Raw genomic sequence first — 27,256 nt, 5'->3', positions numbered from 1 at the left:
AAAAGGTATCATTCAGGGACATTGCCCAACATTTTAACTTGTGGTCATGTGATAAAACAGACAGTTCTTTAACAAACCCTCCCCCAGGCTGGGTGTGGTGGCTCACACCTGTAATCCCAGCACTTCGGGAGGCCGATGCAGGCGGACTGCTTGAGCTTAGGAGTTGGAGAGTGGCCTGGGCAACACAACAAGACCCCATCTCTTAAAAAAAGAAAATAGCAAAAGACAAATCCTCCCTCAGGGCCACATTCAGAAATGGTAAAGAAGGCTGAATGGTTTTAAGTCTAAATCAGTATGATTTCCAACCAGGATTATTCATCTGCCTTAGAAATAGCAATTTTTATGATTCTATGATACAATTTGTCTGTGTCCCCACCCAAATCTCATCTTGAACTGTAGTTCCCAGAACTCCCATGTGTCATGGTAGGGACCCAGTGGGAGGTAACTGAGTCAAAGCCATGGGATCTGCCTGTGCTGTTCCCTTGATAGTGAATAAATCTCATGAGATCTGGTGATTTTATAAAGGGCAGTTCCCCTGCACACGCTTTCTTGTCTGCTGCCATGTAAGATGTGCCTTTGCTCCTCCTTTGCCTTCTGCCATAATTTTGAGGCCTCCCCAGCCAGGTGAAACGACTGAGTTCAGTAAATCTCTTTTTCTTTATAAATTACCCAGTCTCGGGTATTTCTTCACAGAAGTATGGGAATGGAGTAATATGTTTTATTTCTTCTTTCTCTGATTCTCCTTATTGAGGGTCTAACATTTCCCCCCAGGTCAGAACAGAGAGTTGCAGTGGCCATTTCTCCAAAAAGGAGACTGAATGGGGCCCTTTATGAATATGAACAATGAGGCCTCCCAGGAAGAATTGCTGCACGGGTGGGGGCAACGTAAGAAATGAGGCAGCAGCTCTGGATTTACAGAGGGGCAAAAGCAGACAGATCTGCCTTCAAATCCTGACTTGCTTCTGACATAGCCTCTAACCTGCACCTTTACCCTTTAGAAAACAAGGATCCCTTGAAGGATCGTCATGAAGATTCAAGGAAATATGGCACATGGTAAGCACCCAAGAAATCCTAGTAGTTTGTGATACGATTTGTATTCAGTCACTTGGTCAAGGTGCTTTCTGTGGACTACTAGAAACGGAGCATTAACTTTTGGCCAGGATCTCCATTATCTCCCTGCCTCTCTACCTCTGTGCCTCCTTCCCTCTCTTCCTCCTTCTCTCTCTTCTTTCCTTCCTCCCTTCCCCTCTTTCCTCTCTTTCCTTCTCCCTTTTTCTTTTTGCCTCCCTCCATCTCCCTGTCATCCTCCATCTCCCTCCGTCTCTCCCTCTCTTCCTTCCATCCTTCCCTTCCATTCTGCTTAGTACTAGACAACCCACAGAGTCCCTTGTCCACAATATTAAGCAATAAGCATTAGGTCTCAGTGTTCCTCATGCCACATCTCTCAGATGAATGGGTCAGAGCCCTTCCCAGGTCCTGACCGGTTGTCACTGGTGTGGGTGTGCTCTGATCAGCTTCATCTCCTCTACAACAGCCCACTGCCTTGCCTGTCCTAGGTTCTGACCGCCAGATCAACAACCTAAGACTTCTGTTCCCTTGGAGAAAGACTCACTTAATGGAAAGGCAGCTCCACCAGCAGTACAAATTGAACATCCTCATCCTGAGCCCCAAAGGTCCATACTAGAAAAGGAGGAAGTTTAGCTCACCCTCTTAAATTACCAGGTGATCATTTGCAAACAAAACTCCCTCATAAAACACTTCTTTAAACTCTTTACTTGATCATAAACCCTAACCTAACACACATCAGCCCTGGGATGAAGTAAGCATTAGAATTACCCAAGTTTTATGGAGCAGAGTGAGAGCCAGATGACAGAGTATCAGCCAACAGATTCTAACAGTCACAGAATCAAAAAAGATTTATTGAGAACCTACTATGTGCCAGATTCGTAAGATGCTTCAGTGTATGTGATCTCATTACCTCATCTCATTTTTCTCTACTATGCATCCTGATAAGCCATATCCTACTCAAAACAATACAAATGACCAGTTACATGTTTATCAATAATGACAGCTACTCAGCACAACTGGACAATGCTGGATAGCTGCTGCTTCTGTGAATTTAAAGAAAAATTTTGCTGCGAGGCATGGAAATATCTCCAGTCTATATAAATTAGCAGTTGGACACCCTAGGTTTCAAGGGTTATCCTTTTTAACCAGCCTGGCAATTCATTAAGCATCGGGTAAGAATTTCTTCTATTGCTTTTTACCACGGATGGACAATGCCTACCTATACCTGCAAGGGCACCTCCAACATGCGCAGTGCACCTAAAATAGCCCTGCGTTAAGAAAAATGCCAAGCTCAAGTGTATAATTCCTCAGTGCTGCCTGTTTATTTTCTTTCGCGTTTTCACTCTGGCATGCCAACCCCAAATCTCCTACAGTAACACAGAATTGCAGTGGGATACGGATCTGACATGAAACAAAGACCTGCCCCTGCCTCAGCAAAGGCAAATAAAACAAAAGATCAATGAGCCTCAAAGCCAGTGTGCATAAATGTCACTGCGCCTGCAAAGAGGAGAGATCAGAGGACATTTACAAAATCACAGTCCTCCCACGGTGGTGGGAAAAGGTTACTGTAGTATGTCCTAAGGGGTGAACAGCGTGCCCAAGGGAAACAGTAAGGACAGGGCAAGACCCAGGAAAGCAACAAAAATTTAGATGTTGTCTATGTGGCTGCCCCAGTGCCCGCTGCCTCGTTTCTCAGAGCTAATCAAGGGAAGCGTAACTAGTCCAGGCGGCAGGACGAGTTTACAACAACTGACAGTAACTATAACATACGCCAGTTTGTATTAAGATGTTATTGCACCTTTCCAGTTCTAATCACCAATTATGACTCTATTACTCCTACTTGGCAGTTCATCTGCTCCTGCCTCCGCTAAGGGCGACTTGGAGACGGACCTCTGATCTCCCGGTTCCACTTCAGTGAGCGCTCAGCACGGCGGCTGTCATTTGCAGACACTGAAGAGGTAAGGCATTGCTTTTGCTCAGATAACTGTACCTGACCTTACAACAATTTACTAAGGAAATACCTGCTTAATAGCAGTGTGAGTGCAGTTTCCTTTATGCTGGCAAGTGCGCTGCAAATTAGCGACAACAGGATAAATCTATGGCCGGCTCACTAGACACTTCATTAAATCACTGTTCTCTTGCCTTGTAGTGCGCTAATAGAATCACAGCCCTCGTTAGCTACTGAATAAAAGATCAATCACAGACTTTGAAAGCTCCTGCTACCAGCTTCCAGAGGAAACAAGAAAAAAAAAAAAGAGCGTGAGCAAGAGAGAAAGATATTTAGGATCATCGCTGAGATTCTGAATGGCCTCGCTGCAAGTTGCTTAAATTACCTTTTCCACAACTGACTCCAACTGTAATACTCAGAGGAACTTGTTAAGCCTGCCTTCAAGAGCAGCATTCTAATATATGACTGCTAGACCCTGGTCAAAAGTTCATAATGTGCATATGTAAAAAGGTACTAAATTGCCTGAGGGCTAAAACCAGAGGAGTTTAATTGTAGCAAAATGCTGAAAATGGTCTGTTGAGGGTCCTTCCATTGGGATACTGCTGGCTCTAGCTGATTGAAGTACAGAACATAAAAGTCTTACAACAATATTTCCTTAAATGCTGGGGAAACTGCCAGCAGTTGGTATTGCATGAATGTTGTGGTTAAAGAAAAACATTTTCCTCCCCTAAAATAAATAGAGTATTAAAAACTGCTCCAGCCCATAATTCTAAAGCATGACGGGAAAAGGGAGGGCTCGACGATCATAAATAAGGTATAATTCATAGGGCATGTCCAATCGACTTGCAGTGTATTTTTACATGGGGCACATTGAAGGTATTCAGGCGTGACCTGTGAGGGTTTTTGAGCTGTGCATGTCTGTGATTGTGAAAACAGCTTTGCACTGAAATAACAGCAGCTCCTGGCTGCCTTACCTGTCACTGGGTTAGACATACACACATGGGGATCCTTGCGAAAGGATCTGTTTGACTTGCCTTTATTTCTTTCATAAAACAAGATCAGCAGTCCCACCTATGCACACATTCCACTTGTTTGGCTGGGTTTCTCATGCCCAGAATTCTCTACCATCTATAAATACGCTCTTTCTTTTTTTCCTATTTTTTGTTTGTTTGTTTGTTTGTTTTTTCTCCCTTTCCTTTCTGGCCTTACCGATGAGTTCCTCATTTGGAAAACGGACAGTGCAAGAGCAGCAGACGATGACTCAGAATGCTGGGAGGGGCTGTGTCAAATACAGGATGCCCAGGAGAAGCTAGAATTGGACAGGTGGGCTCTCTGATTTAAAGTAAGTACATGAGAAAGTTAAGGCCACAATTCATGGATAGTGAAATCTGTATCCACAATTCATTTTCATCAAGTCAGAAAGTTATCAAACATGGAATTCTGCACTTTTGTTATGGCATCAAGCTTCCAAAGCAACACAGTAATAGTCATACACTTCAACAACCACCAACACTGTGTCAGATGTCCACTCTTCAAGTATGAAACTTGTGCAGTAGCATGGCTTCTACCTGTGGCAAGAACTTAGTAATCAACATTACTGATACCCCTGTCACTACTGATATCTGGAGGGCCTATTTCTTCAGAATTATTCTCCAGAGAAAACACTTTCAAACTCACACTGAGGTGCAAGTGATGTGTCCTCACGTAACAGAGCAAACTAAAAACTCAACTGAAATAGAGTATTCATTTAGTATTTATGGTCAGGAGGATGGCGTAAAGATCACTCCATCTTGTGGATCCCATCCTTGCTATGCCACGTGGATCGAATGTCATGTTTAAAAAGTGGTCAAGTCTACTCTTTAGTTCTTCAAAAGCAAGGACACAGCAGGTCATTGGACACGTCTGCCACAGGCCACATCAGTTCTCCCTCTTTCAAGCTCCAAGTCTGAGTCATTCAGGCCAGTGTTCTGCAAAACAAACAGGCATCTGTGGAAGAGCTAGTATGGTGTTGGTATCAGTCACATTCAGGGTTGGAGAAATCTGTGCACTGGAAGCTTGAGTATTCAGGGAGGAAAGGAGAGAAAAGGACAAAGAGTAGACTGAAGACAGGTTATTACACTGAAAACAACTAAGGAAAGTATCAGCCAGGCGGGGTACCTATAATCCCAGCACTTTGCAAGGCCGAGGAGAGGTCAGTAGTTTGAGAACAACCTGGCCAACTTGGTGAAACTCCGCCTCTACTAAAAATAGAAAAACTAGCTGGGTGTGGTGGTGCATGCCTGCAAAACCAGCTACTTGGAAGGCTGAGGCACAAGAATCTCTTGAATCCGGGAGGCACAGGTTGCAGTGAGCCCAGATAGTGCCACTGCACTCCAGCCTGGGGAAAAGAGCGAGACTCTTTAGGGTGGGGAAGGGAGGGAAGGGGAGGGGAAGGCATAGTGGAGTCCAGGTACAGTGGCTCATGCCTGTAATCCCAGCACTTTGGGAGGCCGAGGTGGGCGGATTGCTTGAGCCCAGGAGTTCAACACTAGCCTGAACAACATGGTGAAAAACCCAACTCTATAAATAATACAAAAAATTAGCTGGGTGTGCTGGCGTGTGCCTGTAGCCCTAACTACCCGGGAGGCTGAGGTGGGAGGATCACCTGAGCCAGGGTGGTCAAGACTGCAGTGAGCCATGATTGCACCACTGCACTCCAGCAGCCTGGGTGACAGACTAAGACCCTGTCTCAAAAAGAATTAAAATAAAATAAAATCTAGTCTAACAATTTTTCAGTTGCAGCATCAAGTAGGCCTTCAGGCTGAATGTAAATGCAAACATGTCACTGGTATTATTTTTAAATACTTAACTGCATTTAAACCAGAAGACGACTTCCAAGAATATCCATTGGCAAACATCAGCAATCTATAATAATGGCACACGCAAATGCAGAAAGTAGATTTTGCCTCATAAAAAGCCATTGATGCCTGATCGCTTACAATTAAGCCATATACCACAAATATTCATGTGCACAGAGTTTAAGGAAAACATGAAGCAAAGCAAGAATATGCAAAATGGCAGATACCGCATGACCTTGATAGTTAGAAAAGGAAGAAAACGGATACAAGAGGAGGAAAAGCTGCTTCTCTTGATGAAAGATGAAATCACGCTCCACTTGTAGGCCACTCGGAAATATCCAGTTACTTATGCAAGAAAAGGGCATTTATTAAAAATGCTGGGGATACCATGTCCGTTAAAACATAAAATAGGCAAATTTCTTGGAGCCTGGTGAAAAGGGCATTACACCACTCTCTTTCAGTGTGAACTTACGACAGTCTTTCAACCTTTCTGGGTTTGGCTTCTTAATCTCTAAATTAATAGCCTTGGCCTAGATAATCTCTAAGGTTATGGGAAACTGTGGCCACCTGAGAAGGCTAAAGGAAGCTTCATTTAATCTTCACACAGAAGGCCCTTGCGGATCAGTCCTTCCAAAGTCATCTGCTGGCTTCCATTTAGGTACTGTAATCCATTAGTTTACTAATAGAATCCCTCTAGGTTGTAATTAATAGGACCAACTAGCCTGGGACAACTTCAAGTAGTTTTGTGACGGAAGTAAATTAAATGCTGAGGTGACACAGAGAATGAATATTGTTGGAAATGAAAGATTTTTTTTCCCTCCCAGGCCAAATAAGAATATACTAATCATCCCACAGTCTCCTGTCCCCTTTGCCAACCTCTACATGCTAATTCCACCCCCAACACACACAGATAAAAAGTGGCGCCACCTATTAGCAGACACTAGTACTGGTATTTATATATATACTTCTATGTATGTATACACATATAGACATGTATTTTTAAATGTCAGATTATCTTCCCTAATATTAATGCTAAAAAATTAATTTATATTCTTTTTACTTTTATATGCTATAAAATAATTTTAAATGACCACATATGCTGTAAATATAAGAAAATAAATAAATGTTTAAGAAAAACAATGGTATACCAATGGCCTGACATGGTGGCTTGTACCTGTAATCCCAGCACTTTGTGAGACTGAGGTGGGAGGATGGCTTGAGCACAGGAGTTCCAGACCAGCCTGGGCAACATAGGGAAACCTTGTCTCTATAAAAAATTAAAAACATTAGCCGAACATGGTGGCATTGCCAATAGTCCCAGCTACTTGGGAGGCTGAGGCCAGAGGATTGCTTGAGCCTGGGAGGTCAAGACTGCAGTGAGCTGTGATCACGCCACTGTACTCTAGCCTGAATAACACAGTAAGACCCTGTATCAAAAAAAAAAAAAAAAAAAACTATACCAATGAAACAATTAATTAATTGGCAGGGAATAGAAGTGGGCAGAATATATAATAAAACAGTATGTAGGGCAAGTTCGACAAAATCATGGAACACACCTTCACATCTGAGGGATTTCTCTTCTAGAAACAAGGGGATACGAACTCCAGGATGAGAAGTCAGGCAACTTACTAAGCCCAGGTAAAGTTTTTTTTTTGTCACCCAGGCTGGAGTGCAGTGGCACCATCTTGGCTCACTGCAACCTCCGCCTCCCAGGTTCAGGCAGTTCTGGTGCCTCAGCCTCTGGATAGCTGTGATTACAGGCACCTGCCACTACGCCCAGCTAATTTTTTTTTTTTTTTTTTTGAGTCAGAGTCTCACGCTCAGGCTGGAGTGCAGTAGGGCGATCTTGGCTCACTGAAAGCTCCGCCTCCCGGGATCAGGCCATTCTCCTGCCTCAGCCTCCCAAGTAGCTGGGACTACAGGCGCCCGCCACCACGCCCAGCTATAATTTTTGTATTTTTAGTAGAGATGAGGTTTCACCATGTTGGCCAAGCTGGTCTCGAACTCCTGACCTCAGGTGATCCACCTGCCTCGGCCTCCCAAAGTGCTGGGATTACAGGCATGAGCCACCGTACATGGCCAGTTCATGTTATTTTCATGTGCGTCCTCTGCAGCCCCCACAAATGTTGTAAATGCAGAGTCTTATAAAAACGGCTGTTAAGATTTCCCCAAATAAAGCTTAGCATTTGGGGAAAAAAAAGATTGGTGAATGAAAAAAAGAATCAACAGTTTTTCTATTTCCACCTACCAATTGGTGAAATTCACCTTCGCTTTCTCAGGACGTACGTGGAAGACACGAAGCAATACCTGGTTGGTGCAGCTCTCTATCTAAAGACCTGTACTTAGTCATTACTTTGAAGGAACCAAGAGAACAAGTAGCAAATCTGAACTGAATGAAAAGACTTCTTGCTGCTTTATTTAAAGTCGTGCAATGGAATATTTGCAGGAGAGCTTTTGCTACCTCTGGATAATCCTGTTCCAGAAGAACTGTTATCTGAGATCCCAGGAAGGTTCCTGAAAGGTCTATTAATGAAGACAACAGAAACAAAACAAAAAAGGGTGCAGACACAGACACGATCAGAGAGAATGTTACCATTCTGTCTGAACACTGCCAATTCCCTTAACGGCACAGAAGATTCAAATCGTAGGGTGGGCACATATTGTGTGACATTTCAACATCAAATTAACCATCCTGCCAGTAGCATCATTTAAGGCAGTGTTAGCAAAAATGCTGCCAGCCCACAAGGGGATGTGCATCTTCCCTCTTCAAACAATGCAAGTAACTCTTCATAAGGGTGATCAGCCAACGCCACGTGAACTAATTTGATAGTTCCATCATCTGATGCATTGCAAATTTCATTACATATTTTAAATCATGTTAACATGGTTTGTTAATGTTGGTATTCACTAAAAAGCCACAGCACTTTAAATAATGAATGGGCATGATAATTTTTACACATATTATGAAACTGAGACATGTGGATATTCTACCTTTTCTCTTCTTAGAATCTGTCTTACATCCTTTGTTAAGAGTCATCAACAAAAAATATATCAGGATGTTTCAGAAACACCACAGATTCAGAATTTTTAAATTTTTTTATAAAAATGAACTACATACCCATCAGAAGAAAAAAATACTTCAAATTATGTTAAAATATTGTTCTATATTAGCTCTATCAGGTATCCCTGGGACAAGAATTTAAGGCTATTGCTTAAGACAGCAAACCAAAAAGAGACAAAGTATTTTGTTAAGTGCTCAATCTTAAATATCAAATATTTTCTATTGCTTTGTTTATGCACACATGCATAAACAAAATTAAATTTTTTTTAACAAGTTTGTTTCCATTGCTACTTGTACAACATTAGGACTATTTTCTTCTCTTGCCTCTCAGCCCCCAACACTATTCACAGACACTCGTGACATTTCTAAGTGGTCAACTCTTCCAGCCTCTCTTTTGGTGTCTATGTTAAAAATGTGTCCCTCTTCCCAACTTACTGTGTTGCTGCTATAAAAACAACCTCTGAATCTCAGACACAACCTGGGGCCAACAGAGGCTGTGGGTGGCAGGGATTTAGAGCTTGGGCACTTCAGTCCGTTGCAAGGGGCTTGAATCCTCCTCCACCCCCTTTAGTTACATAGCCTTGTCCACGTCACTGATTCCCTCTAAGCTCCTTCGGTAGTAACAAAAGTAGAATCAGCATGAGAAATAGATAAGCTACATAGCACAGGTCCTGGCCTATAGCCACTGCCGGCCTATGCCAGCTCCCTTAAGTGCACAGGAGATTAAAATAATGTTAACACAAATACTAGTTAAAATAATGTAAAAATAAAAGTTAGTTTTTTAAATCTCATCATCACTGCTCACTTCCGTCATCATCAACTTTAACATGAGGTCCTTGGTGGCCTTTTTTTTTTTTTTAACCTTCACCTCCCCCAGGCATCATTACAAATTCATGTTCATTACTTGAACCTTTGCTATAATATTGAATTTGTCTTGATTTAAATTTTGAAATGTTATCATATTTTTTGCATCAATTTTGATTTTTTTTTTTTTTTTTTTTTTTTTTTGAGACAGAGTCTTGCTCTGTTAACCCAGGCTGGAGTGCAGTGGCATGATCTCAGCTTACTGCAGCCTCCTACTCCCAGGTTCAAGCAATTCTCGTGCCTCAGCATCCAGAGTAGCTGGGACTACAGGCACACACTACCACACACCCAGCTAATTTTTGTGTTTTTAGTAGAGATGGCATTTCACCATTTTGGCCAGGCTGGTCTCAAACTCCTGAACTCTGGTGATCCGTCCACCTTGGCCTCCCAAAATGCTGGAATCACAGGCATGAGCCACCACACCTAGCCTCGATTTTTTAAAATATTAGATTAGAATATCATTTATCTTCATTACTGAGGTTTTTAGCACCCCCATAACTTTGTCCATCGTCCTTGTCCCAGCCCAGCCACAGCTACAAAGAGAACCTAAAATTCTCTCGTTTGTGTCAACATGTTTGCCTCCGACACATCATTCAAGTCTCAGTAAAGACGTCATCTCTGTTCTGCAACTTTATCTGACTCCTCTTCTATCTATCCTCAAGACAGAAAAGCCACACATCCCAGTGCTGCTCATCTCACCTCCCTTTCACATTCTTCCCATCTCCATCCTTCTAAGGTAGGCACCCATAGAGCCAAGAGAACACCTTGCTCATTTTTGCATTTGCTATGCCTTAAGTCAGTACCTGACATGTGGGGCACTCAATGAACATTTATCAGAGGGGAGCACATCAAACAGTATTGGGGCAGTGACTGCCAAAGAACAGACTGTGATCTAGCGGGGTGGTGAAACCAATAGTGGGTGGTGAAAGCAACAGTTGGTATTGAAACTGGGTCATCATTGGCACATACACAAAAACAAAACAAAAAACACAGGTGGGCACGGTGGCTCAAGCCTGCAATCCCAGCACTTTGGGAGGCTGAGGAGGATGGATCACCTGACGTTGAGAGTTCGAGACCAGCCTGATCAACAACCTTGCTAAAAATACAAAAAAAAATTCCCCAGGTATGGTGGCGCATGCCTGTAATCCCAGCTACTCAAGAGGCTGAGGCAGGAGAATCGCTTGATCCTGGGAAGCGGAGCTTGGGGTCAGCAGAGATCGTGCCATTGCACTGCAGCCTGGGCAACAAAAGTGAAATTCTGTCTCAAAAACAAACAAAGAAACAAACAAACAAACAAAAACACAAAAACACAACCTAGGGGAAAAAAAACAGCAGGACACTGCTCAGATAAAAGTATCATTTTGTAAAACTTTTATTTCAGACAAATACACACACATGCATATAATACACACACACACACACACACACACGAATATACATAAGTATAAATGTATTGGGTTTTAACAGAAAAAACTTAGATAGTGGTCCAAAAAAGTTTGAGAGATGCTGTTTTAGAGCAACATAGAACATCTTGATCTGTCCATCAGAATTTGTCCTGCTACAGCCTACAGAAATCAAGGCTTCCAAAGTCATCCAAAACATTGAAAGTTTGGGAAACAATTAGATTAGGAGTATGCCCGGAGACCAATCCTCAAGAAACGAGAAACTCTAGAATACTGGAAGAGGCTTGCTGGGGAATTTCTTGGGTATTAGTTAATAAATAAATACTGATTTTTCATCAAATTAATGGCATATATTTCTCACTGAAATCACCCCATCACAAAAACTCAATGACAACAAAAACCAGGTGTGGTGAAATCCAGATCTGCCCAATCTACAAGTTGGACTTGGTAGAAATAATTGATGCAAAAGAAAACTCATGATACAAAAAGCTGTAAAACTTGGCATGTACAGAAAACAGATACATGAAATCTTCACTATAAAATAAAAAAAAATGGTTTTGGTAAAAAGGCTTTCAATAAAAGAAGAGCTTAACTATCTTCGCACTGTTTAAAAACTGGATCTAAGTATTTAATTGACTTAATGGAATTCACCCTGTATTACACTTCCATGAAAAAAATTGATCAGTGTTGATACAGCACTGATTAAAATGTTTTATTCATAAACAGAGTAAAAAAAAAATCTTCAGGATAAAAATAGCAGGGCTGAAGTAGCTGGTTTTATCTCTCCCTACCCTAGACAGATTTTCTAACTGCATATGCCTGTCTGCACAATATAACTTGAACAAACCCACGTATTGAGTCCTTACTGTCTACAAGCGTCCATTCGCATTTCTACCGCTAGCTCATGTTGTCTTTATAAACCATCTTAAATCAACTGAATAAGAAATTTTTTTTTTTTTTTTGAGACATAGTCTCGCTCATGCGCCCAGGCTGAAGTGCTGTGGCGTGATCTCCACTCACTGCCACCTCCACCTCTCGGGTTCAAACGATTTTCCTGCCTCAGCCTCCCAAGCAGCTGGGATTACAGGCACCGCTACCATGCCCAACTAATTTCTGTACTTTTAGTACAGACAGGGTCTCACCATATTGGCCAGGCTATTATCAAACTCCTGACCTTAGGTAATCCTCCCACCTCAGCCTCCCAAAGTGCTAGGATTACAGAAGTGAGCTACCACACAGGGCTGAGGAATAAATTTTTTACAAATACACATATAAGATATAAATAGCTGCAGCCTGGCCAACATGATGAAACCCGTCTTCACAAAAATACAAAAAATTATCCAGGCATGAAGGCAGGTGCCTGTAATCCCAGCTACTCGGGAGGCTGAGAGAGGAGGATCACTTAGGCCAAGAAGGTTGAGGCTCATGAGGCTGCAGTGAGCCATAATCTTGACATGGTACTTTAGCCTGGGCAACAGAGTAAGATTCCCTCTCAAAAATATGTATATATATATATAAATAGCTCACTGGAAAACAATAGCAGCCATAGGGGAAACGGAATGTAGAAAAACAGAAAAAGATCGAAAGACATAAATACGTATTTATTAAGGCTAGGCACAGTGGTTCATGCCTGTAATCCCAGCACTTCGGGAGGCCAAGGCAGGCCGATCACATGGAGGTCAGGAATTCGATACCAGCCTGGCCAACATGGTAAAACCTAGTCTCTATTAAAAACATAATAATTAGCCAGGTGTGGTAGTGCATGCCTACAGTCCCAGCTACTCGGGAGGCTGAGGCAAGAGAGTCCCTTGAACCTGGGAGTCAGAGGTTGCAATGAGCCAAGATCCGCCACTGCACTCCAGCCTGGGCAACAGAATAAGACTCCGTCTCAAAAAAAAAAAAAAAAAAAGAGAGAGAGAGAAAAAAGTATTTATTAGGTCCTTGATGAACTGTGATTACATGTACACACACATGCATACACACACAAACATATCTAATTAAAAGATCTGCCATCTGGTCTGCTGGCAGACTGCATGATAGCAATCAGTAACTAGCATGTGAATCATATGACAGTAAAAAAAAATTGAAAAAATCTAAATCTGAAGACAGGATGGTTCTCAAATATCCATTTGTTCAAAGGGTGTTACGCAATCTCTTTTTATGAGTGCGGACAATCCAAGAAATATGTCCGAACTACAGATCAAGATAAAGTTACTTTTGGCCTGGTATTAAGAGATTCTGTGGGATATGCCTGTACTTCAACATAAATCATTTTATTAATTCAAATTTGACCTGCTTCCAAAAAAGGGATCTAACATGACTTAAAGAAAGAACATGCAGAGAACAAGGTGAATATAATGTATTAGAGTCACTAAAAACAGAAGGAAGTTGATATGCTAACCATTGCATTAATATGACCTGAAAAAAGACAGTGTTGAACTAAGGGCTCCAACAATACATTACGTTATAATTTCATTCCTTCGTGGAAGGAATGATGGCGGCTCCCCAAGGATTTTCCTTAGAATCAAGAGTTGAAGGGTATTTCTCACCTGCTGTGATGTAACTCCATATGTTTGGGGATCAGATAATCAATAATATCTTTGACAATAAGTGTCTGTATACCCTCAGAAACCAGTAAGATGTCAGCAAAATTCATTCTAACTGGTAGCACACGAAGAAGACTAGCATTGCTTTAGTATCCACTATACACCAAAGGTTTCAGCTGTGTCCTGCACACCTCCCACCAACAGCCCAAAGATGTGGGAGCTACTTTCCCCATTTTACAGTGAAAAAGAAAATCCAAAGCCCAAGGAGGTAATGTGGCTGGCCAGCAGGTCACTAAAAGGAAGGGCTGGGATTCATTCCAGGCTGGTTTCTTCAACTTCAAAATCCTGTGTTCTTACAGCCCCTTCTGCTACCTCACATTGCATCCTTCTGCAACCAAACTCAGCCAAATATGCTCTTCTCAGCTCCTCCCCATCCCACCATGTTGGTAGTGGACTGTGGAAAATAAATTAGTCCTAAGAAATGTGAATTGTTTTATTATCTTTATCTTCTAGTTCTGCAGAATGTATACTCATTCAGTGAAAATCACAGTGAATCTCCTATTGTATCAAATACATTTCATATCTTCACATTACAGACTAACATGAGGACCCATCCCTGGTCAGGAGGACTTGCCAAAGGTGAGTTTAATTTCTAATTTTAAAAAAAATGGCTTTGGATGAAATCGGCCTCCACTCTGGGTTCAACTAAGAACCCAACAGAGCCTTTAGCTTGGCAATGAGATAATGTGACATCGGAAGATGCAATAAACAAGCTTAAGTATAACGGGAAAGCAAACCACAGTCCAAGAAAGACTCTTCCGGGTTAGGGATAAAGGAATCCAATATATTATTCTACTTTTCATACATAAGAAATATGCCAGCTCCTTCCCAGTGCTTGGAACAGGAAGGACAAAAAGCAGAAGAAAATTGTATTGTTTTCATTATTGGGTATATTTCAGAACCTAATTCTTTTGAAATATAATGTTTTCTTTTAAGCATCTTCTTATGATCTTTCTTAGAGGAAATCTGCTCTGGGTTAATATTCAGAATTCAGCCATGGTAATTTCATTACTTGCTCTTTTATATTTATAGAGAATTAACAAAGAGACAAATCATACACATAGCACACACAATAGCCAACAAGAAATGTTATGTTCTAAGATCAAAAAACAGACTTATTGCACTCACCTGCCTAGAAATATTAAAATATCAAAAAAAGTTTAAGTTCCCAAATTTTACAGGTTTTCTTTTTTCTTTTAAAGAGTGAGAATACTAAGAAAACATTATGCAGGTCTCAGTAGTTGATACACAGTATTTTTTTTGGATCCGGCAAATATACTTTTTATAACTTTTCTCTGAAAGAAGGAACTTTCTAGCTCAGATTACTTGGACACTCTGACTGTTTATTATTCCCTGTTTTGAGCAGTCAGAAAAGATTTCTCTCTCAGTACTTCAAATAAATAAGATATCCAGCTGAACAAACACCATACATTCTCGTGGATTACTTTGGCTTCTTAAAGAATATTTCACTTTCTTTTTTCAAAATGTAAATGATTCAAGAGATCCCATCATATGCAACTCAAGGATGCAATGTTTAAAGTGGTTCAAATTCTACACAAGGTGCCATGTGAAGAAGCATAAAAAGAGCTTGATATTTCATAGGGGAAATTTGAATTTTGCTAAATTAGATACTTTATTATACATTTTTAACATGGTTGGCTTTATAACATGAAAACTATACTTTAGTATTCAAAATCAATCTCAAACCTATTTTCTAAAAGCAGCAAAGTAACGGGTGGTTATTTTTTTTAGCTTCCTGCTTAAAAAAAATCATAACAAAACAACAACAAATCCTAGGATTACATATAGTCTAGATATTCTACACAGGCTTTGAAATGATTGGCTAGCCTTACCAAGCTTTATGGCTTAAAAAAAAAAAAAGTTCACGCTTTCTGGCTAGTTTTTGTAACTCAAATCCAAATTCTGCAATACACATTTCTTGAGAAAGACAATTTGGGCCATCGATTAACAAGGGCCCCTTCTACTAAAGCAACATGAAAGCAAATACTTGACTTTAGGATACATTATCTACCAGTTTGTTTATTCTTTTCATAAGCTTTCTTATTAAATGACTAAATCTTACCTCCCATCAGAAAGCAGAAATGCATATATGTTTTAAATGGGTGCATTTGGTGCCTCTCTCAGTCCAGAAAGAGGGAAGAAAAGGATGACGAAAGGATGCAAACAGAAAAAGAACGAAGAAAAGACAAACTTATCCGTAATAAATGCTATGGCTTCAGGCAGGTCAAGAAAAATCATCAAGTCCTGTGAGTAAATCTACCACAATGTAGCAGGGTCCCCAAAAGGCACTGAAATCTAAAACAAAATTCAAGTTGTAGAGTGTGGTAGCTGGCCCTGATCACCCCTGCCTCTCAGGATTCATACCACTGTGAAATCCTTTCCCCTTTAACAACGATCAGACTCAGTGATTTCCTTCTAACAAAAAGAATATGGCAAAAGCAGTAAGACGTCACTTCCGTGGTTACATTACAAAGAACTGTGACTTTCATTTTACCAATGGATTCTATTTCCTTCTTGGCTTACATGCTTCGATAAAGCCAGCAGCCATGATGGAGATCCCTACGTGGCAAGGAACCAAACACCAGGCAGGAAAGGAAGCCTTCAATCCACTGGGCCATAAGGAACTGAGTCCTACCAGCAAGCACGTGGGCTTGCAAGTGGATCCTTCCCTGCTGAGTCTTGAGATTGTTACCTGGTATAATGCCTACTTGACATAGGTGAATTTCTACCCTGTAATAACACTGCTTATCTTTAAGAAACAGGACACCTGTGATAAAAAGTTCCCTCTGTAACCAGACCAGCTGAGATTTGTTAGAAGCAAGATAGCCGACCCAAGGACTTCAAAAAGACCTCAGGTGTCATTATAATCCTATTTCCATGCTAAACAGCCCCCTCACCAGCGCCAAGACAGTTGACAATCACCATGACAATGATCAGAAGCAGCCATAAAAGGATAAAAAGGAAGGCAACACTCTGGTTCCGGGAAGTTCACTGCCCATTTCAAGAGAAGACATGATTATTCCTCCCCTTGATTTTAATGTCCAGCCTCTTCATTAAAACAGCAACAACAACAAAGTCTATATTTTAACTTCCTCACCCCTCATTAGTGGAGAAGCTGATTTGTGAATTTGTGAGCCATGCTCCTGCTTCTCAATTCCATGGCCATTGAATAAAGCCTGTACTGCTTGACACTACTTTCGGTTTTGTGTGTTGGCTTCATGACACCCAACAGGATAAGACCCCATTCTTTTGGGGCACCAGCTTTGTCGGTAAGAAGTTGACCCCAGCCCAGTGGACACCTTGAATGCAGCCTGTGAGACTCTAAAGCAGATGGTCCAGCTAAGCAATGGCTGGTTCCTAATCTACAAAGGCTATAAAATAATGAATGTGCATTGTATTAACCTGCTAAATATTGAGGTAACTTGTTATGCAGTGATAGATAACTAATACATAGAGTTTTATTAATTTCTGCCTTTTTTGCTCGTCTTGAGGAATTTTACTCCCCCGTTATGCATTACTGTGCTCCTTTGGTCAGCTTCAGAAAATGAGCTGAAGGGACCACATACTCACAGGCCAGTATTTCATTGCATGGATTGGGGGCAAGTAATGAGAGCAGGGCCGTTGTCCCAGAACTTCTATTAATAATAGTTTCTAGGCCAGAAGCAGTGGTTCACACCTGTAATCCCAACACATCGGGAGGCTGAGGCAGGCAGATCACTTGAGGTCAGGAGTTCAAGACCAGCTGGGCCAGTATGGTGAAACCCTGTCTCCACTAAAAATACAAAAGTCAGCTGGATGTAGTGGTGGGTGCCTGTAATCCCAGCTACTTGGGAGGCTGAGGCAGGAGGATCGATTAAACCCAGGAGGTGGACGTTGTAGAAAGCAGAGACTATGCCACTGCACTTCAGCCTGGATGACACAAGGAGACTCCAACTCACATAATAATAATAAATAATAATAATAGTTTCTTCTGCTTTCCTTGGCTGCTAAGTAGCTTAGAACAAAGTCTGCCTTCCTCCAGTACCCCTCCACTGACTCCCCAGCAACAGCTGTAGAGGTTTGTGAAATGGAATCCTGCATGGTTTCTTTATTCTTTCTCGAGTAAATGTCCACTTTTGCATTTCCTTCCGCCTCCGACTAATTTTTGTTGTCATTACCTTTTGGAACAATGGAGTCTAAGGGGAGGCATGCATGTATGCGGATATTTACCTAAGTGTAGTTGAATAATTACACATATACTTTCACCTCTGATAAATACAGATTCAATTCCATCCCTGTCACTTGCTAGCTAAGTGATCTAAGACAGTTTACTTAGCACTTCTAAACTTCAGTGTCCTTGTCTGTAAAAGGAAGACAATTTTCTTAAACTTCTGCAGGATGTAGAAATTCTACATGATGATGCAATAAGCAGCTTTACACAGATTTACTAATTTATAGCAAATGCATAAGAAAAAATTTATTACAGTATTAAAATATTGCCATTGTTACTGGCACAGGAGTAAATGTACAGAGTTACAGATCTAGTTTCCTCTGTAATTTTAGAAAATCCATCTGTCCAGGGTCCGTTCCAAAGCTACACAGCTAACTTGAACTGAGCCAGATTTTTGTAAGATCAAATACTCTGCCTGTCTGGTTCAGAAAACAGGAAATAACTCAAACCTTTCTAAAAACCTTACTTCTGAAAGGCACTGGACAGGACAGAGTACAGAGAAGCATAAATAAGACATCCTGCCATCATGACCTTCCAGTATAACAAAGAAAAGCACAGGGCACAGCATAATACACCTAAAATAAGTATATAATTGGCAGTGGCTCACACCTGTCATCCCAGCACTTTGGGAGGCCAAGGTAGGTGGATCCCTTGAGGTCAGAAGTTCATGTCCAGCCTGGTGAACATGGCAAAACTCTGTCTCTACTAAAAATATAAAAGTTTGCCGGGGGTAGTAGCACATGCCTGTAATCCCAGCCACTGAGGAGGCTGAGACTGGAGAATGGCTTGAACTTGGGAGGCGGAGGCTGCAGTGAGCCGAGAAAATGCCACTGCATTCCAGCCTGGGAGACAGGAGATTCCACCTCAAAAAAAAAAAAAAAAAAAAAAAAGTATACACTTGGTACTATACTCGATGTTCACCAAATAGTAAGAAAAACATATCATAAGTAATTTTTATAAGGTAATAATGAACAATTATAATATTAATTATAATATCAATAATAGGAGTAGTAAAATCATCACAATAATCTAACACTTGCTGGCATTTACGGAGTTCCTGGGATGTGACAGAAATGCTTCCAAGTCTTTCCAGGCCTTCCTGATTTTAGTCCTTGCAACAACCGCCTGAGGCAGGCAACATCTCGTGTCAAAGCAAAGGCAGACAAGGACCTGAGACTTCAGGATGTTGACCAAGGCCATGGAGAAAGTAAGTGGCAAAATTCGACCTTTAAACCCAAGACCTCCTCAGTCAAAAGCGCATGCTCTTTCCATACTTCCTCTCTAAGACTTGAAAAGAGCGTCACAGGTTACAAAATACTCTCTGGAACATGGTCTCAAGTATGATGTATGTATTTCTTCACCATTGTACATTAAACTGATAGTTTACTAACTAGTTTTATGAATGATCCCTACTGATACCTTTTTATCACACCAAAGGAAGAAAAACACATCAATACCATTAGCATTTCTATTTTGCGCTTAGTCTTTCCAGATCTAAAAGAAGCAAAATAAGCCCAGTTATCAGTCCACATACAGCCAGCTACGCATTTGACTATTTCAGCCAAATTCCACAGCCCATTTTCCAAAGCACAGCAAAGGCTAGGCTCATCAAAAACGTAAGTAAAGCTGTTTCTCTTCTTTCCCCCCTCCCCTGCCCTGCCCCCCGCCCCAAGACAGAGCCTTGCTCCATCACCCAGGCTGGAGTACAGTGGCACGATCTCTGCTCATGGCAACCTCCACCTCCTGGGTTCAAGTGATTCTCATGCTTCAGCCTCTAGAGTAGCTGGGACTACAGGAAAGCTCCACCACACCCAGATAATATTTTTGTATTTTTAGTAGAGAAGGGTTTCACCGTGTTAGCTAGGCTGGTTTCAAACTCCCGGCCTCAAGTGATCCAGCCCACCTCAGCCTGTAAACCTGTTTGCCTATTTGTTTTGTTTACTAACCGAAGGTGATCATATTATTTCTTTCTGTGAAGATGAATTAGTGAAAACAATTACTCAAATTAAAGCTCCTTCCTGGGCTGAAGTCGGAGTGGTTTGTCTCTTCATTTCCATGCCTATCATCTGTCTTCCCAACATACGGTCCCCATGAGGACAGGGACCTTGTACAGCATTCTGTCCCTAGCAAAGCACCCGGCTTATGTTAGATGCTCAATAATATTTGTTGAATGAATGAATGCATGCACATCAACAAGATCTTGTGACATGATTTTTGTGGCCCACCCATCAATTTACTGAGGTGAGCGCCCTTCTTCTAGAACATATTCCCCCTTTACTCGCTAATGCCCCAAATCCTTTGTGGAAATAGATGGGGTATGGTATTTACAAAAAGGCACAGGCTGAAAGAATGGCTTCTGGATAAAAAGAATCCAGACTCTAGGACAGCTTATACCCTGATGTACACCTGTATCATTTCTTTCCCTTCACCCCACGAGGTGGTACGTCCAGAAAGGTCTGCATTTCACAGATGAGCTCACCTGGCTCACTACACGATTAGGTGAGATGCAGCAACAAGTTTTAGTGCAGGTTTGGAACCTGGGATCCGAAACACACACAGAAGAACTATGGAGCTTAAATGGTACCTGTAGGGTTTTCTAGGCCAGTCATTCCAAGTACAACCCCATCACTTCCAACAAAGGGAAAAACAGTAACAGCAGCATTTGAGTGAGTTCTCCCTGAAGTCAAATATATTCCATTGAAAGAACTGCTCCTCATAGGCCGGGTGCGGTGGCTCACGCCTGTAATTCCAGCACTTTGGGAGGCCGAGGCGGGTGGATCATGAGGTCAGGAGATCGAGACCATCCTGGCTAACACCGTGAAACCTCGTCTCTACTAAGAATACAAAAAATTAGCCGGGTGTGGTGGCACGCGCCTGTAGTCCTAGCTACTCGGGAGTCTGAGGCAGGAGAATTGCTTGAACCCGGGAGGCAGAGGTTTGCAGTGAGCCGAGATCGCCCCACTGCACTCTAGCCTGGTGACAGAGTGAGACTCCACCTCAAAAAAAAAAAAAAAAGAATTGCTCCTCATCCCATAACTGTATCCTTCCTATAATTTCTGACATGAAAATATCCATTCTCTTAATAAATGATGGTAGGTTCAGTTTTCATCCAAAATTTATGAAATACAATGTCTGTGGGCCCATGTTAGTCTCCTTTTTTTATTTCCTTTCAAGTTAAACTGTTCTATTAACCCAAGGGATGGCTATTCTTGGTTAACTGATTCATTTTACAGATAAGAAAACTGAGGACCAGAGAGGATAAGTGATTTGCTCAGAGACACACAATTATCTAAAGAGAACACACTCTAAAATTACATTAGATGAGTAAGACATAAAGAAGGAAACCCATGACCACAGAGCCCGGCACGGAGCTGGGAACATGTGCTCAGCTGATTTGCAAAGTATTTCTTTATCTTGGTGTAAAAAGAAGAGGGAGAGGAGTTCCGTTTCCAAACGATTCTGAGCACCAGGTTTCAGCCCTCTTTGTTTTTGCTAGGAAAACATTACCTTACACCTCACAGGGAAAAATCAACATGTCCAGTGAGTTATACAAAAATCACTGTTCACAGAAGAAACATTCCAGAAACATCGTCATGGGGCAATACAAACTCTTGGCCTCGGTTTAATCACGCTGGCCTCCAATATCTAAACTGCGTTGCAGCCAAAAATCACTGGAAATAAGTATGAAATTGGAGAAAAGGAAACTGAAAGAGGGGAGGATCAAAGAAGGCACCACAAACTTAAAAGAAAAAAGAAAAGTAATAAAAGAGCTACAAAGAGTTATAAAGAGGCAGCACATTACCAAAATGCCAACGGGCACACAGAAGAAAAGGAAACCGGGAAGATAAAACTAGGGGAATTGCAAATCTTGGTTAAATGTTCATTAAATAATTTGTTACACATACTAAGGCCAGATAGTCACTTTCTCCCCTTCTCGGGTGCTCATTCAGGAACAAAGGCCGAGGCGGATTTAAAACACTATAAAGCAAGGCAGAAAAAATACATTGATGAGGTGCTCCAGCCTCACAAAGGCAGATCTAGTTTCCCTCTCTTTGTTTTTAACAAGAAAGTGGCCAATGTTTCCTCCAAGCTAAGGTGTGTTCTTGGTGCCAGTAAAACAGGCAACTGGAGGGCTTAAAATCTGCACTGTGGAAGCCTGCTGAGTTCTGATGAGCATTGTGTAATCTGTCTTAGTGGTTCCTGAGGCTTGCACATATAGTTTTGGGTTTTTTTTTGTTTTTTTGTTTTTCAGTCTCACTCTGTCACCCAGGCTGGAGTGCAGTGATGCGATGTCAGCTCACTGCAACCTCCACCTCCCAGGTTCATGTGATTTTCATGTCTCAGCCTCCCAAGTAGCTGGGACAATAGACACGAGTCACCACACACAGCCTTTTTTTTTTTTTTTTTTTTTTGAGATGGAGTCTCGCTCTGTCACGCAGGCTGGAGTGCAGTGGTGCGATCTTGGCTCACTGCAACCTCCACCTCCCGGGTTCACGCCATTCTCCTGCCTTAGCCTCCTGAGTAGCTGGGACTACAGGCACCCACGACCGCGCCCCACCACCACGCCTGGCTAATTTTTTTGTATTTTTGGTAGAGACAGGGTTTCACCATGTTAGCTAGGATGGTCTCAATCTCCTGACCTCGTGATTCGCCCGGCTCGGCCTCCCAAAGTGCTGGGATTACAGGCATGAGCCACCATGACCAGCCAGCCAATTTTTTTGTATCTTTTTAGTAGAGACAGAATTTCGCAATGTTGACCAGGCTGGTCTCGAACTCCCAACCTCAGGTGATTCATCCGCCTCAGCCTCCCAAAGTGCTGGGATTTCAGGTATGAGCCACTGTGCCTGGCCCATATGAGGTTTTTATGTTCAATGTTAACAGGGAGAATTAGGCCTTCTATGACAGACACAGTGCCATCATTACGAGAATGGGTATCTATAAACAATGGGAAGAGAAGCAATCAATTTATCGTAAAATAAGCCAGGCGCAGAAAGACAAATACTCTATGATCTCACTTTTTGTGTGGAATTTAAAGCAGTCAAACTCACAGAAGCAGAGAGTAGAGGGCAGTTCCCAGGAGGGGCTGGTAGTGGGGAAGTGGGAGGGGGTGATAAATGGGGAGATAGTGGTCAAAGGATCCTAAGTTTCAGTTAGACAGAATGAATACATTCTGGAGATCTATTGTACAGCATGGTGAATACAGTTAACGATAGTAATAATAATAACGTATTATATACTTGAAAATTGCTGAGACTAGACTTTCAATGTTCTTGCCACACACAAAAAATGATAGCTATGTAAGTTGACCGATGTGTTAATTAGCTTGATTGTGGTAGTCATTTCACAATGCATATGAATATCAAAACATCACATTTCACACCACGAATACATATAATTTTTTTTTTCCTTTAGAGATAGGGTCTCACTATGTCACCCAGGATGGAGTGCAGGGGCACCATCATAGCTCACTGCAGCCTCCAACTCCCAGGCTCAAGTCATCCTCCCAGCTTGGCCTCCTCAACTGTTAGGATTATAGGCAAGAGCCACCATGCCCAGCCACACACACACACACACACACACACACACACTCATGCGCATATATGAAATTTTTGTCACTCATACCTCAGTAAAGCTGGGGAAAATAATGTTAATAATGACAGCAATAATGGTTATTGAGTATCTAGTATATTCTGAATGCTGAACATTCATAATCTTTAATTTCTACTGCAAGCCAATAACAATAGTAGTTAACATTTCTTAAGCATCTAGCACACTGTAGAGGCCTTAAGTTCATAACGTCTTTAATTCTCAAGACAAGCCCATGAGGTAGTTCTAACATCTCAGTTTTATGCATGAATCTTAATCAGGTTTTGAACCTTGCCCAAGAGTTAGAATGGGAGAGAGCTAGGGCTGGACCCGAGAGCTGTCTACCTCTAAAGCTCATCCTGTCTCTCCTGTGCCTCACCTCTCTCTCCTTACATTCATTCCCTCCAAACATACCCACACCGCTGGATACGTCCCTTACATGTCATTTGACCATGAGCCTGGGGGACCTTGGGGGCTTGCTGTGTGACTCTCAGCAGGTCTCCTTGCCTTATCTTTTACGTATTTACACATTCTAAACTATAATCCCTTGCCTACCTCAGAGGGATAAATGATAAGAAGTACATTAAGGACTCTCACTGATTCAGCACCTGGTCATCTTTCATGTATTCATTTACAAACATTTACAGAACATTTACGGTATGGACCAGGGATACAGTAGTGTGAAGGCAAAAACACCACTGTCAAGAGAAGGGGGGACAGACATTAAATAAGAAACTACAGGCTGGGTGCAGTGGCTCACATCTGTAATCCCAGCACTTTGGGAGGCTGAGGCAGGTTTGAGACGAGCTTGGCCAACATGTTGAAATCCCGTCTCTACTAAAAATACAAACATCAGCCGTGCGTGGTGGTGCACACCTGTAATCTCAGCTACTCAGGAGGCTGACACAGGAGAATCGCTTGAACCTGGGAGGCGGAGGCTGCAGTGAGCCAAGATTGCACCACTGCATTCCAGCCTAGGTGACAGAGCAAGACTTCATCTCAAAAAAAAGAAAAGAAAAGAAAAAAGAAAAAGAAACTACAGGCCAGGCACAGTGGCTCATGCCTGGAATCCCACCACACTTTGGAAGGCCAAGGCAGGTGGATCACCTGAGGTCAGGAGTTTGAGACCAGCCTGGCCAACATGTTGAAACCCCGCTTCTACTAAAAATATATAAATTAGCTGGGTTTGGTGGCCAGTGCTTGTAATCCCAGCTACTTGGGAGGCTGAGGCAGGAGAATTGCTTGAACTGGGGAGGCGCGGAGGTTGCAGTGAGCCGGGATTGTGCCACTACACTCCAATCCGGGCAACGGAGAGACACTCCGTCTCAAAAAAAAAGAAAAAAAAAAAACTACAGAAATTATGTTTTCAAACTGCAGTTGTGTTCAATGTTATGAAGAAGAAATTCCAGGGACTCTTCATTTACTCATTCAACACATAAGGAGTGCTACTACGAGTCAGGCAGTATTCTAGGCACTGGCTGTTCTGAAAGAACATATTGGAGAGCTTCATATAATCTGAGAGACCAAAACTGCTTCCTTGACGTGTGCTGTTCAGACTGAGTTTTGCAGGATGGGTAGAAATTAAGAGTGGAGGAGGAGTATTCTAGGCTGAAGAACATGTTTCAAAACCCTAAGGAAAGAAAGAGCATGGAGCCAGAAGTGGCTTGAGGTATGGTGGGTCAAGTGGATGGGGACCGGGGAAGACTAGATGCCTTTCATTTCAATTCTCACTTCTTCTCACAACGATCCTATAAAATCGATAGCATTTCCATTTGATTAATGAGAAAACTATTAAAATATGTACATACGTATTCAACAGTGCCTGTGTCAACACCATTACCCTATCCTTTTTCCTCAAAATCAGAGTTCGCCTGCCACTCTAGAGGCTCAAAAAGCCAGTTATGCACTTTTCTAGTCTCCTTTATAACTAGGATACAAACAGATGACTCAGTCCCAACCAGTGGGATCTGACGGGAAGTCAACTCAGGAGGACAGTTCTGAAGCAGAATGCTCTGTCTCTTGATAAAGGAAAAAGGCATGCAATGAGGAGCCTCATCCCTCCCATCTGTGCCTTCAGACCTTATCAAATAGGATGCAATGGCTGGCACCACAGAAGCCATCTTGTAAGCATGAGGGAAAAGTAAAGATTATCACAAAGGAGCTACTCATATAGTAGCCAAACACAACCCTTGCTGCCTCAGCAACTCTGGATACATGGGAAGCAAAACCTCTATTATTTCAGCCACCTTTAAGTGGGTGTTAATAACTTGCGGCCTAAAGCAGCTAAACTGATGTAGAAAATTAACCTCAGAAATGTCAAATGATTTCAAAATTATGTAACTAAAAGGGAGTAGAGGCTGCAGTTTGAATACAACCCTCATGATTCTAAATCCTTTGCCCTTTTCCAACTTACTTACATCCATTGGTCACTGGACTAAGCAAGCACTGTAAACTTAAAAGCTTTGGACATAATGACGTAAGACTACTAAAACCAATGGTAATGTTAATCCAGGGCAGGAAGAAGTATGTTTCTTCCTGCAAGAAGGTGGCCTCAGTGGTGTAAGAGGACAAGCCAGCTACCAGGTCCTTCTGTTGACAGACAACTGCAGGAAAGCGCCAGTGTGGTCCAACCACAGAGGGGTCCTGAGAGTCCAGTTTTCTAACATATCTGGACTGGCAAGAGAAAGGCAACCAGAAAATTCAAACCTCACTCAGGAGTCTCAAAATGTTTAGATTCATGAAGAATACAATGAAATTTCCACTTTGAAAACCATATTTCCCCCTCGCAACAGAAAGCCTGTTTTATACACCCTCTGCCTTGTATGTGATACACCAATGTACCAATACACATTCAAACAGGGGGCTTTGCCCTTGATAGTATCTATAGTGTAGTCAGCTGCAGGTATTTAAAGATGGAAAGGGGGAGAAGTATTTTTCTAAAATACTAATTTCAGGAACAAATCAACATCTATTATCTCCTTCATTACGTTTTAAATTGTACAACTATAAATCACCCTGCAGCGGGTTATTCAAGGGCAGAATTACCCCGTTTGGCTTTCACGAAGGTTAGAAGAATGACATCTTGTGCTTTTTCTAGTTATAATTTATAACTTTGCAACAGGACCAGCATTGCCGGCCCATCCATTAGCAGGGTAGCTGCACATCCGTTAAAACTCAGCACGATGACTGGCTTTACACGGGCACAGGAAACGTAACCCGATCGTCGCAGAAGTTCCATAAACGTAAGCCATTTTTTAATGTAAAATGATTTGAAAATGCAGTTCCCTAAAACATCTGCTAAGCTCTTGCTACCCTAACACATGATATTCTTTCTACTGTTATCTGCCAACACAAATATGTGGTTGCACAAAACACTCCTAAGAGGCAAGTGACAGTGCTCAACTTCAAATCTGCATACTGGTCCACAAAGGACCGGCTTGGACCTGGGAACTCTGGCAAGGATGTATTTACCAGAAATGAAAGCTTATGTGGAAAAAAAAAAGGTGGGGTTGGCGGTGGTGGCAGCATTCATTTCAGTGAAGGTGCTGTCAAACATTTTAAAAAGGAAGCATAACTGCATAACTAGATATGGATGCCAGGGGCATTACCGTGCATTGGACAAAGCAAATGCAGCTGCAATTAGCAAGTGAAA

General features: G+C 41.9%; 1 protein-coding gene and 1 long non-coding RNA gene across 4 annotated transcripts in view; one reads left to right on the top strand and one right to left on the bottom strand.

Moving 5' to 3' along the window:
* Positions 1 to 27,256, bottom strand: part of WWOX (WW domain containing oxidoreductase) — a 1,113,014-nt gene that overhangs the window by 747,102 nt on the left and 338,656 nt on the right. The gene's annotated exons all lie outside the window — the stretch shown is intronic.
* LOC124903728 (uncharacterized) lies at positions 166 to 3,770 on the top strand. 2 transcript variants are annotated; one of them, XR_007065127.1, is made up of 3 exons: positions 166 to 2,823; positions 2,916 to 3,026; positions 3,218 to 3,770. It is a non-coding gene; the product is annotated as an uncharacterized LOC124903728 (long non-coding RNA). The 2 variants fall into 2 exon arrangements; XR_007065126.1 differs by having other exon boundaries at positions 166 to 3,026.

The sequence above is a fragment of the Homo sapiens genome, chromosome 16 (assembly GCF_000001405.40).
Source record: "Homo sapiens chromosome 16, GRCh38.p14 Primary Assembly".
NCBI classification, from domain to species: Eukaryota; Metazoa; Chordata; class Mammalia; order Primates; family Hominidae; genus Homo; species Homo sapiens.
This window is presented reverse-complemented; position numbering and strand designations above follow the sequence as displayed.